General features: G+C 40.7%; 1 protein-coding gene across 41 annotated transcripts in view, besides 1 other annotated feature; it reads right to left on the bottom strand.

Annotated features, from left to right (window-relative positions):
* Positions 1 to 13,077, bottom strand: part of TMEM131L (transmembrane 131 like) — a 170,352-nt gene that overhangs the window by 116,423 nt on the left and 40,852 nt on the right. The window lies entirely within an intron of this gene.
* Positions 6,969 to 7,468: an enhancer, noted in NCBI's record as "H3K27ac hESC enhancer chr4:154433973-154434472 (GRCh37/hg19 assembly coordinates)". NCBI's record gives its function as "activates a minimal SCP1, AML or CMV promoter by ChIP-STARR-seq in naive H9 embryonic stem cells {active_cell/tissue: H9 hESC(naive)}" and the evidence as "EXISTENCE:reporter gene assay evidence [ECO:0000049][PMID:30033119]".

Here is a 13,077-nt window from a genome sequence, read left to right as displayed (position 1 = left end):
GAGGTGGGGTCTCCCTATGTTGCCTAGGCTGGTCTCAAACTCCTGGGCTCAAGCAATCCTCTCACCTCAGCCTCCCAAAGTGCTGCGATAACAACAGGCGTGAGCCACCGTGCCTGGCAGAGTTTATTTTAATATAAAAATCTTCCTTCCAAATCTTAAGTAAAACTGGCACCAAGAAAGATGGACCGTGTTTGTTCAAAGCCTTAAGAGATCCCCTGACCCCCAAAGTCAGTGCAGATATGGAAGCAAGTCTACACAGACCTTCCCCAGGCAAATTTCTGGTTCTTCCACTGAGCAACTGGCTATTGTGTATATCATTCACTTGGCATTTAGGATGTACTGGGCTTTACCCTGGCAGTTTTGTTTTCATGTGTATTAATGTGTGAACTCCCTGTGGTCAAGGACTAGTAAACTTCCCTATTCATCCACAGTATCTAATCCCGTTTCTTGCACATAACTGACACTTGATATAGCAGGTTCTTCAGAGTCCTCCTGTGTAAAAGCCACAAGCCATCTTCCTAGAAATGCAGAGTGAATTTCTGTCTTACAGCCTAGCTTGACCCTCAAGCCTGTGGGGCTCATTTTTCCTTCATTTCTGTCTCTGAAATTGGTCCAATTATCTATGTACTAAATGCATGTCTCTGCTTTACAATTAGATTTGCCTGTTGTTTCCTTCCTATGTAAACCCAATTATTAAAGTTTAAGATTGCTTGGTCATTCTCCACATTCTATATGTGATGGCAAATAGAGTCAGACAGGTAAGAATGTGCAAACTACTGTAGCAGCTCAAAGCATCTCCATCCCTTTATCCCAGCTCTTCCCCTAACACACTTATGGTGTTAATGTCACCTAAAGTTTGAGTAACACTTCTTCACAAAATCTGTAGCAAGAAAGTGAAAGATTCGTCCATCTGGATTTGGGTATAAAGTCTTCAACTTCAAAAACAACTACTATGCCACTAAATAATTTTCAGCAGTTTCCATGAAAAGCTTGGCCCCAAGCTGCAACACAGAAAGATAATATTTACACATGACATCAGAACAACTGCTGAAATTCCAGAGAACTTTCCCTACCAAATCTCTAAGTAAAGAACAGAAAGTACCCCACACAGCCTACACCCCCTAGCTCACCAGCAGGTCTACAATGCTCATAAGACTTCTCATGTCCCCTAAGGCTGTTTGGTCTTATCACCAATTTGACAAATCCTTTACATGTGGAATTTTCCCCCCAGGAAGGTGGGGAGAAAAAGTATTACACATAAAGACTACAAACTGATCACAGCAAATGTAAGAATGGTGGTCAAAAGTTTAAGATACAGCAAGGAAACCCCAGGTTAAGGTCTCTTGATGTCTTCACCACCCCACCGACTAGAATTCTTATCAATGCCTGCACTGACATGGAGTAAACAGAAAAGGGCAGGCACCGTTAGGATAGAACCAGGAAATCAGCACGTGTCCCCCGGAGTCACAAGTGCAATGAAAGGGCTGAAAGTCAGTTTCGATATCACCGAAGGAGAAAACAGAGCCTGAGCACCAAGTCGGGCTATTGATTTTTACAGTAAACTCGTACCAACATATACGAGAGCCTATCATTATTTCTGAAACTGTCACACATGATTTCAGTCAATAGGAAATTTCTCAGTAATTGGCCTGATGTTCCCATCGCTTCTATGATGCTTAAGAGTATCACTATTCTATATCCCTTCCCTGTAGCACCAAACACATCACACTTGTTACGTACATTTTTCTCTCCAGTGATTTTGTGCTGAGACCAAAAAATTGAATGTATTCACTATGTTTTCAAGCTTTTCTATTCCATTAACAGTTTCTCAAGTATGATGTCTGCATCTTATTTTCATAGGCCTCAATACTAGGTTCAGCCTCTTCTGATTCTTTTTTCTCTCTGGACCTGCTCTCGTGTGTTCCCTTCTACCCCTGGTGGACACAGCTTTCTATTATAGCAAAAACACTGTCTTTCGAAATGCGCAGCAGCATCCCACAAGAAGTGCTCGGGAAATGAGGAGGAGTTTTTAATGTGCAAGTGTTCAGTCCTACAATCACAGTGCACAGCATGCTTGGTTCCAAGGACTGTGTGAGAACGCAAGCACCTGCTGACTGACCTCGGCCTCAATTCTAAACAGGAACCTGGCTGGAATCAAGCCCGGCATGTTCACTCCCATTGTCAGGTCTCAGCTCTCACTAAAAGCAAGTTGGAAATTTTCTGTCTGTTCAACAAAAAGGTTACTGTTTTTTTTTTCACCCCATTATAAAACACACACTCATCGTAAGTTCAAGGAATAAAGAAAACTAGTAAATATATCACCCACCACTCAAATTGGGCAAATTTTCAAGCCAAAAAAACAGGGTCCAAAAGATTCTTACTCAGTCTAAAGGCTTTAAACAAGGTGAACCAAAGAGTTAGGAGAGAGGCTATTTGGGTGCCTACTACCACCATTGGGTTATCCAGAAAATCAAGTGTGTACTAAAATAGGTATTTCATCTTGTTAATAAGGTTTGGGAACACATGACTGCATATACACAGACACTGCACACAAGATTAATCATAACCATTTTCCAAGAGTCTTTCTTTCACTGCTACCATAGTTTTCAGGAGCCCACTCACTGGTAACCAAGCTTCCTTGAACAAAAGGCTCCTGACCTAAACATTAAGAGCGCTAAGGAGCAATATACTCAGTGGGTTCCATTCAATTCAGCATTACATTCGACACCTAATGTCCCAGGCAGGGCAGATCCAGGTTTTATGGAGCTCTGAAACTTATGTGAGAGGGCAAAGTGGAGTATTTTAAAGGAAAAAAAAATACACACTATATATTACTTCTGAAGACTTAATAAAAAACACAGTCATGTAAAAACATTCCTAGGAACCCGCCCAGGGCCTTGTAAAGGACCCGTGCAAGGGAGGATGAGAGAACATGTCTGTGCCTGTGCAGTTGAGGGAAGAGGTGGGAAATGCTTCCTAGATTAAGGGATGTCCCAGCAGAGGTCTGGAGGCGGCACAGGAAGTGATCTCCAGGCATAGCAAATAAGTCCAATGGTGGAAACAAAGGAAACTTCAACCAACTTCATCTTCATAAGTACATGCAAACTAAAAGAAGTATATAATACCAATTTGGACCTCTTAGATTAAAATTTAAAAGATGAGCTGGCCAGGCGTGGTGGCTCACGCCTGTAATCCCAGCACTCCGGGAGGCCGAGGTGGGTGGATCATGAGGTCAGGAGTTTGAGACCAGCCTGGCCAACACGGTGAAACCCCATCTCTACTAAAAATACAAAAATTAGCCAGGCATGGTGGCGCGCACCTGTAATCCCAGCTACTCAGGAGCCTGAGGCAGGAGAATCGTTGGAACCCGGGATGCGGAGGTTGCAGTGAGCCAAGATCGCCCCCACTGCACTCCAGCCTAAGTGACGGAGCAAGACTCCGTCTCAAAAGAATAATAATAATAAATAAATAAAATTTAAAAGATGAACAAAAAGTACTGGTACCTAGTGCTGGGAGGCTCGTAAGAAACTGACAATCTCAAGACATTAGCATAAGGGTATAACTGAAACAACCTTTCTGGAGGGCAAGTACAGAATATTTTTCAAAGGCCTTGAAGCATGCCCACTTTTTGACCCAGCAATTCCAGTTCTAGTAATGTATCCTAAAGAAATGATTGCACAAGCATTCAAATGTAGATATAGCCTGGTGGGGTTTTCTTTCCTTTTAAATAAACTTCACGTATAAAGAATTCGATTTTAGGGCTAGGCACAGTGGCTCACATCTGTAATCCCAGCACTTTGGGAGGCTGAGGCAGGTGAATTGTTTGAGCCCAGGATTTCAAGACGAGCCTGGGTAATATGGCGAAACCCTGTCTCTAAAAAATATATAACAATTAGCCCGGCACAGTGGTGCATGCCTCTAGTTTCAGCTACTTGGGAGGCTGAGGTGGGAGGATCGCTTGAGCCTGGGAGGTGGAAGCTGCAGTGAGCCAAGATCTTGCCACTGCAATCCAGCCTGGGTGAAAAAACAAAGAATTAGATTTTAAAATTATAGAACATTCATATAATGAACTATAAGGCAGTCAGTAAAACTGATGTACTTAGATATAGACATGGGAAGATTATTAAGTTTAAAAAGCAACTTACAAAATTGTCATTTAATCTCATTTAAAAATATATAAAAATAACATACCATTTATAGTACATGACTCAAAAATAAAAATACAATTAATCTAACGTAAAAATGGGCAAAGGATTTGAGCTGAGACCAGTGGCTCACGTCTATAATCCCAACGCTGTGTGAGGTCAAGATGGGAGGATCACTTGAGATCAGCCTGGGCAACACAGTGAGACCCTATCTTTAAAAAAAAAAAAAAATGGGCAGAGGATTTGAACAGACATTTCTCCAAAGAATATATACAAATGGTCAATGAGCACATAGAAAAGAGGCTCAACATGATTAGAAAAATGCAAATCAAAACAATGATACCACATCGCACCCTCTAGAAGGGCTATAATAAACTCATCTATTAACTGTTGGTTGGTGAGAATGTAGAAAAATTGCAACTATCATACTTTACCTGTAGAAAAGTCATGTATGAAAAGTAAGGTATGGTACAACTACTTTGGAAAACAATTTGGCAGTTCCTCAAAATGGAACACATAAAGTTACCATATAAACCAGCAATACCACTCGTAGATATATAACCAATAGAATTGAAAACATACGTCCACACAAACACTTGCACACAAATGTTCACAGCATTATTCATAATAGCCAATAATTGGAAACAATCCAAATGTACAAATGATGAATAAAATGTGATCTATCTATACAATGGAATATTGTTTGGCAGCAGAAAGGAATAAAGTATTGTTACATGCCATGTGGTAAACCCCGAAAACATTAAGCTAAATAGAAGTCAGTCAAAAAAGGCCACATGCTACATGATTCTATTTATATGAAATATTCAGAACAGGCAAATTTATAGAGACAGAAAGTAGATTAGAGGTTGTCAGGGGAATGGAGTGGTGGCCAGGGGCAGGAAGTGACTGCTTGATGGGAGTGGTGTTTTCTAATAAGTTGATGAAAATTTCTGAAATTCGATAGCAGTGATAGTTGCAAAACTATGAATATATTAAAAACCACTGAATTGTATGCTTTAAAAGGGTGAAGTAGGCTGAGCACGGTGGCTAATGCCTGCAATCCCAGCACTTCGGGAGGCCGAGGCAGGTGGATCACCTGAGGTCGGGAGTTCGAGACCAGCCTGGCCAACATGGGGAGACCCCTGTCTCTACTAAAAATACAAAATAAGCCGAGTGTGGTGGCAGGCGCCTATAATCCCAGCTATCCGGGAGGCCGAGGCAGAGAATTGCTTGAACCCAGGAGGCGGAAGTTGCAGTGAGCCACGATTGCGTCACCACACTCCAGCCTGGGGGACAGAGCGAGACTCCATCTCAAAAAAAAAAGAAAAGAAAAAAACAGGGTGAAGTAATGTGAATGTGGGATTCTATGAAGTGTAAATTCTATCTCAATAAAGCTGTTATTTTTTATTTTTCTTCTTTATATTTTATAGTATTTTCTTTACAAAAAAATTTTTAACAGGCATTACACTTACCAGCTAGACAAGCTTGAATGAGTACTAACTTTGGTTTCCTATTATAAAATGGGGCTACTAATGATACCTATCTTAATGGTACCTAGTTCATAGTTTTATTGGAATGATTAAATGAGATGCCATTTGTAGAGGGCTTTAAAGAGAATCTAGGACAAAGTAAGCCCTCAATAATCAGCTATTGTAACTTTTATAATAGAAGTGGCTATTTCCACTTTGAAAACCAAAACATGCCCTCCTATTTACATCACCATGCATTGTTGACTCATTTCTCATCATTTAAAAAGCAATTCTCTACTCAGCCGAGACAAATGCCAAGTGAAAAGCAATTGAGATCCAAGAGAAACATGGGCAATAATTCACGATAGCCTCTGGTCCTGCTACAGAGCATGTGCATTGTGTAGACCTCACACAATGATCTTTATGTGAACTGCACCACTAAGCCTTCTCAACAATCCTCTAGAAAAGGTACCATTAGTCTTGTTTTACAGAGGAGAAAATCAAAGCTGCAAAGATTAATTGGCTACGGTCACCCAGGGCAAGAGGGTGAGCCAGAATTCAAACCAAGGTTTATGATTCCAAAGCTGTGCTATGCAGTATCTGAGGGAAACTGGTACCTCAAAAGAAAGCTACTCAAAGGAATCCACTTAAAATCCACAATTATGAGACAGAGAAAAAAAATGAGACTTATCTGAGATTTTCCTAAAAAATGTTATGAAAATAAGTGTTTCATATTTAATCAATTTTGTTATAATCCCAACCATGACCTAAGTCTCAGCATGACAAAGAATGAGTCAAGAGTCAAGAATTTTTAGTGTAATTCTTGACAAAATTGTAGCATGATAATGACATAGAGAGGGTCATAAAGAGGTGATTTTTGCTAAAACATCTGAGAACCACATTAATTTACACAAGGCCATCTTTTAATGTTTTGACATTTAAACCATCCTCTTTTGAAGCATCAAACACATTATCCTTGTCAATTGCCAACACAAAGACACTGGCTACAGACCAGATGGGAAATGGGAGCAACAAAAGCCAGTTTTAAGCAGGAAGACATGTTCGAATGGAGAGCAATTTTATTAGTATTACATTTATTATTAAATATTTTCATGCTATGACAGCTTCTGCAGCTCTGTGCAACCTCAGAACTGGAACTCAAAGAGTAAGTAAGAAAACAAGAACACCTATGCTGCCTGATACCTAAAGTGCTCAAAAATTTGAAAAGAAAACTGAACCCCTTCTGCCCCAGTTCAGTCTTCAGTTTACTCATTTGATAAATGTCTTTTGGTTCTATCTCTTCAAAACTGTCCAAAATAAATCAGAATAGAGCTCCTATCCTACTGAGTAGAGAACCTGAGCCAACACAAATAAGCTTCTTACATAGTCAAGCCTCACAGTTTTCTCTGGTAAGTATATATTAATAAATGTGCTCTGGCGAAGGCAACAAAAAAGGCAAACGCCAAACTTTATTTTTCCATTAGGCCAGCATGACAGTAAATTCAAACAGCCTGCTAGAACAGAACCAGATTAGACCACAGAATACCCTGACCCCCTACCTCCAGAGCTCTACTGACTGCCTTATGCCTCCCCAACCTCTCTAGACGCCTTGATAACTAAAACCAGCAGATGAAAAAAGAAAATTAATAAAAGATGAAGGGTATAGTACCTGGGCATGACAGACTGGTGATTTAAAACTTCATTAATGGCTACTGATCATGCAGATAGCCTGCACATGTAAAATAACACCTTAAAAAATAAAGGGCTGGGCACGGTGGCTCATGCCTGTAATCCCAGTACTTTGGGAGGCTGAGGTCGGCGGATCACGAGGTCAAGAGATCGAGACCATCTTGGCCAACATGGTGAAACCCCATCTCTACTAAAACACAAAAAATTAGCTGAGCTTGGTGGCTCGAGCCTGTAGTCCCAGCTACTCAGGAGACTGAGGCAGGAGAATCACTTGAATCCAGGAGGCGGAGGTTTCAGTGAGCTGAGATTGAGCCACTGCATTCCAGCCTGGCGACAGAGCAAGACTCTGTCTCAAAAGATAAAGGATGAAAGCAGAAGACATCTAGATGTCAGGAATGGCATGAAGAAAGGCTCAGGGATGAGGAGAGGGCCTGTAAAAGTGATCTTAGAAAGAGTGTATTTTGGATGTCATATTAAAGTTTGGCAAGTATTCTTTTCTGTTAAAATGTTGCTATGACTTAAAAATATCCAATCAGTTCATCTTTCCAGGAATTTTAAGTAGGGGAAAAAATAAATAAATGCTTACTGTCCTCCTCATTACTTCTGCCCCCATGATAGCCTTTGCCCACAGTTCTTCACATCTTTGTTTGCATAACCCCAGAAAGAGACCTGGAGAAACTATAGACTCTTTCACACATTTTTAAGGTTAATATTCAAATTTTCACACTGTAATTTTAAACGGTTGCAAAGAATATAATTTCTGGCATGTTATAAATACTGAGTTTTAAATAAAACCATTACATCTCTTAAACGTATCCATTCTGACCTAAATGCCATAGCCATCCCCACAACCGATATCCATTTTAAAAAAATAAATGAACAAACTCTTTCAAAAGAGTTGGAAACAGTACATCATTTCCCTTTCTCCTCGATCTCAACTTTCCATTCCACCTCCTCCACAGTATTCCATCTTGTTAAAGTTTGAAAGTCTATTCTACGCTGCAACAAAAATTCTGCAAATAAAATTTGTGTATTTAACCATAAAAATCAGTATTAAATGTTTATTTTAAATGGAGTTAAATACAATTTTAAAGGCAAAATTGCTCAAAAGAAACTATAAAGTTATTCAATATAAATAACATTTTATTGGAAACGAGTATCTTAATGAGACAGATGGAACTTTTTCTCCAATCAGGTCAGTCTCTGTAGAAGACTATTACTTATTACTGGAATGAGACAAGATTCAGCACAAAATCTATTATTTTGTTTAGTTCTTATAGATGTAGGCACTGAGAAAATGTGTTCATATACATATATAGATGGAAAAAGGTTTTGTATTTTTTCAGTAGGGAAAGGAAGAACTTTTCAGTTCAGGTATACATGTGCAGGTTTGTTATATAGGGAGACTCGTGTCATGGGGGTTCGATATACAGATTATTTCATCACCCAGCTACTAAGCTTAGTACTCAGTTATTTTTCCTGATACTCTCCCTCCTCGCACCCTCCACCTTCAGTTAGGCCCCATTCCTGTTGTTCTACCCTATGTTTCCACGTGTTATTATTCAGCTCCCACTTACAAGTGAGAACATGTGGTATTTGGTTTTCTGTTCTGTTAGTTTGCTAAGGATAATGGCCTCCAGCTCCATTCACGTTCCCGCAAAGGACATGATCTCATTCTTTTTGATGGCTGTGTAGTATTCCACGGTGTATATGTACCACATTTTCTTTAGGCAGTCTACCATTGATGAGCATTTAGGTTGATTCCATGTCTCTGCTACTGTGAATAGTGCTACAATGAACATACAAGTGCATGTGTCTTTATGATAGAACAACTTATATTTCTTTGAGTATATACCCAGTAATGGGATTGCTGAGTCGAATGGTAGTTCTGGTTTTAGTTCTTCGAGAAATCACCACACTGCTTTCCACAGTGGTTGAACTAAGTTACACTCCTACCAACCGTGTATAAGCATTCCTTGGAAAAAGGTCTTTTTGAACAAAAGTAATATGTATCCATGGGCTTACTATTTAATAATCTATCAGCTGACCACTTGATTAAGTCATCTTTCCGGTTTTTTTCTTTTCTTGTTTTTTTTTTTGAGACAGGGTCTCACTACATTGTCCAGGCTGGAGTACACTGGCATGATCATGGCTCACTGCAGCCTCAAACTCCCTAAGCTCAGGCAATCCTCCCACACTTCAGTGCCCTCCAAGTAGCTGGAACTACAGGCACGTGCCACCGCGTCCAGCTAATTTTGTTTTGTTTTGTTTGTAAAAATGAGGATTTGACATGTTGCCCAGGCTGGTCTTGAACTCCTGGGCTCAACTGATCTGCCTGCCCCAGCCTTCCAAAGCGCTTGGATTACAGGCATGAGCCACCCTGCCCAATTTTACTGAATGCAAAAATGGGAAACATTTGCAAAAGGTTCCTTTGCCCAGTCATTAGAGTCACTCACTTTCCCAGCAGCCCCAGCAGTATTTTAATTATCCCCCTACTTGGCACTCTGATAAGGGGTAGGTGAAAGGTATGTCTTCCCTTTAAAGAATGGTAATCATGAAAGAGAAGGTGTGAAAGGAAAACCAGCAGGTCACCTGGGCCATAGGCATTTTCTCAGGACGGTCAGTGTTAGAACTGATTAACACTCAAGATCTAAGAATCGGCAATTAATTTCCTTTAAATATTCAATGCCTGCATGTCCCTTGAAACATCTTCAAGTGCCTCCAAGTGTGCATCCTCTGGTTTAAATCCCACTACTCTAAGTCACCAGCATGGACAGACCTTGAGTTCTGGGGCAGATGGAGATGATAGGGAAGCATACCAAAAAAAAAATCATTTTTTAAACTATCCAAAGGCTGATACTAATTTGGGCTATTTCATACACAGATTCTTTCATAAATGAGAGTCAGGTATCAAAATTTTAATACAAAACAAGTGCTTCTATACACTTTCACTCGATCAGATGGGCTTTTAAAATGAAAAGGTAGCATTCTACAAAATGAACTTTGTAGTTCCTTTCCTGACAGATCATATTTCATGTAGCAAAATCAACACAAGGGCACCATAAAAGCAGCTGCCATCCTACTACAAAAGCAATCCCGACGCAGCGATTTCCAACTCTGTCCATATCCTGATCCAGTTACTTTAGGGTGGGGCCAATATAATCAGTAGCTTTTTTAAAGAACTCCCCAGGGATTCTAAAGTGTGGGTCAGGGTTAAGAATCACGGAATTAATATGAAAGTATTAAAATGAGGTGTTTGGGAGTTTTTGGAGACAGAGTCTCGCTCTGTCGCCCAGGCTGGAGTGCAGTGGTACGATCTCAGCTCACTGTCTCCCAGGTTCAAGCAATTCTCGTTCCTCCTCCTCAGGAGTAGCTGGGACTACAGGCATGTGCCATCATACCTGGCTGATTTTGGTATTTTTAGTAGAGAAGGGTTTCACCATGTTGGCCAGTCTGGTCTCAAACTCCTGGTCTAAAGTGATCTGCCCACTTCGGCCTCCTAAAGTGCTGGGATTACAGGCTTGAGCCACCACACCCAGCCAAAATGATAGTTTTTATTGTAGAAGGGTAATGGATGTTTCTAATTTGTAGATTTTTCTTTTTCTTTCTTTTTTTTTTTTGAGACAGGGTCTAGCTCTTGTCACCCAGGTTAGAGTGCGGTGGCAGGATCATGGCTCACTGCAACCTCCACCTCCCAGGCTCAAGTGATCCTCCCACCTCAGCCTCCCAGAGTAGCTGGGACTACAGGTGCATGCCACCACCATGCCCAGTTAATTTTTGTTTTTTTTGTTGTTGTTGTTTTTAGTAGAGACAGGGTTTCACCATGTTGCCCAGGCTGGTCTTGAGCTCCTGGCCTCAAGTGATCCCCCTGCCTCAATCTCCCAAAGTGCTGGGATAACAGGTATGAGCCACCACACCCGGCCCTCTTTTTAAGATGTGTTATTTACAATTAAAAAGCATCATAGGTTATATAGTTCTATGCAAATAAAAATGTACCATTTGTTTAACTTACTTAAGTTAAGCCATTTAAAGAAAAACACTAGGCTGGGCGTGGTGGCTCATGCCTGTAATCCTAGAATTTTGGGAGGCCAAGGCGGGAAGATCACTTGAGCTCAGGAGTTTGAGACCAACCTGGGCAAGATAGTGAGACCCCTTCTCTATGAAAAATAAAAAATTAGCAGGGCGTGGTGATATGTGCCTGTAGTCCCAGCTCCTTGGGGAGCTAAGTTGGGAGGATCGCTTGATCCCAGGAGGTTGAGGCCACTACACTCCAGCCTGGGTGTCCGAGCTAAAAAAAAAAAAAAAAATTAAAAAAAAACATTAAATCACATCTCTCAATTCAAGGAATTCGATGAGATACATCATTCATCAATTTTTACTGGGAGTCTATTTAGTGGAAAACATTATCAACGATACAGATGTGAGAATAAAGGGTTAAATGAGAAACTACTTAAGGAACCTAGCACATTGCCTGGCACCCAGCAGGTGCTCAGTAATTGTGTTTTTAAAGTTCTGAACTTAGGATTCAGATGGAATATCGACATAATTTTCTTACTCAACAATTCCAGTCTTCATGGTTTCCGTTCATTTTACTTACTGTGACTTCTCAGGTTAGAAAAAGTAACATCTCATATGGACACCACAATATTTTTGGTCATCCTGGCTCAAACTTTAGAGCAATCTTTTTTAAGACTATAAAAATATTATACGCATGCAGTAAACACAACATAGAGTTGGGTATAAATTAAAAAGTCTATCTGCCTTCCTATTATTCACATACACCCAAATATCCAATACCCATTCCTATGTTACACCCAAATCCATTCCCCAGAGGTAATGCTAAATGACTTTTTCCCTGATTCAGTTCCTTAGTCCTAACATCATTAAATATGATTCATTCCCTCTTTTACATTCTCCTCAAATCAATTCCTATTTTACTAAACCCATCCTAATTCAGGCCTTCACATTCTAATCAGTCTCCTTGCCTCCAGTCTTTCCTCCACACAACTCACCCACGAAATGTGTCAGCGTTCTTAGCTGCCAACTACAGAATCCATTCTATGTGTTTCAAAGTCATTTACTGCAGCAGAGGATGGTGATACCCAGCCCTAGGATCTGGGCTGAATCCCACTGTAGAACCGGTCTGGTAAGGGAGCAGCTGCCAACATGGCCACTAGATGCACCCCAGCTGTATTACGATGAGGAAGCTGCCTCTGAAATCACCCACACCACATAAGCGTTCCCTGGTTTTTTGTTTGTTTGTTTTTTTGTTTTGCATCTCACTCCTGAATCCAAGTCTTGCTACAAGATCTCACTCAAATGGGAGAAACTTAAGTCAAAAGTCTGCATCCTAACAGCAAGAGAATCTGGGTAATACGGTTTGATAGGTTCTTACGTTTTTGTTTTGTTTTGTATTCTCTTTTGGGACATGAGGACTCACAATGTGGAGAATAATACAAATGTGAACACGATGTTCCAGACTCTTGGAAGCCATAAGGTAACAGAAGTCCACAGCAATGAGAAGAAACTCATCTTCCTAACTTACCACTGTAAACACAGTCTTCTACTAGAGAAAAAGCAAGCATGGGGGACGTGGAGATGTGCCACGCAGATCCCACTTCAAGGACCCCACTGCCTTAGTTGGAGACAGCCTCTAGCAGTTAGTCCTTCAGGGTTTGCCTCGGCTACTAACAGCCACCCGCCCAAAACACACCCTCCAAAGGACAGTTCACATCCAGAGACTGATGAAGACAGGCAGATAAAAACAAGCCTGG

The sequence above is a fragment of the Homo sapiens genome, chromosome 4, assembly GCF_000001405.40.
Source record: "Homo sapiens chromosome 4, GRCh38.p14 Primary Assembly".
NCBI lineage: Eukaryota > Metazoa > Chordata > Mammalia > Primates > Hominidae > Homo > Homo sapiens.
The sequence above is the reverse complement of the archived record's forward strand: the minus strand, read 5'-3'. Positions and strand labels throughout refer to the sequence as shown.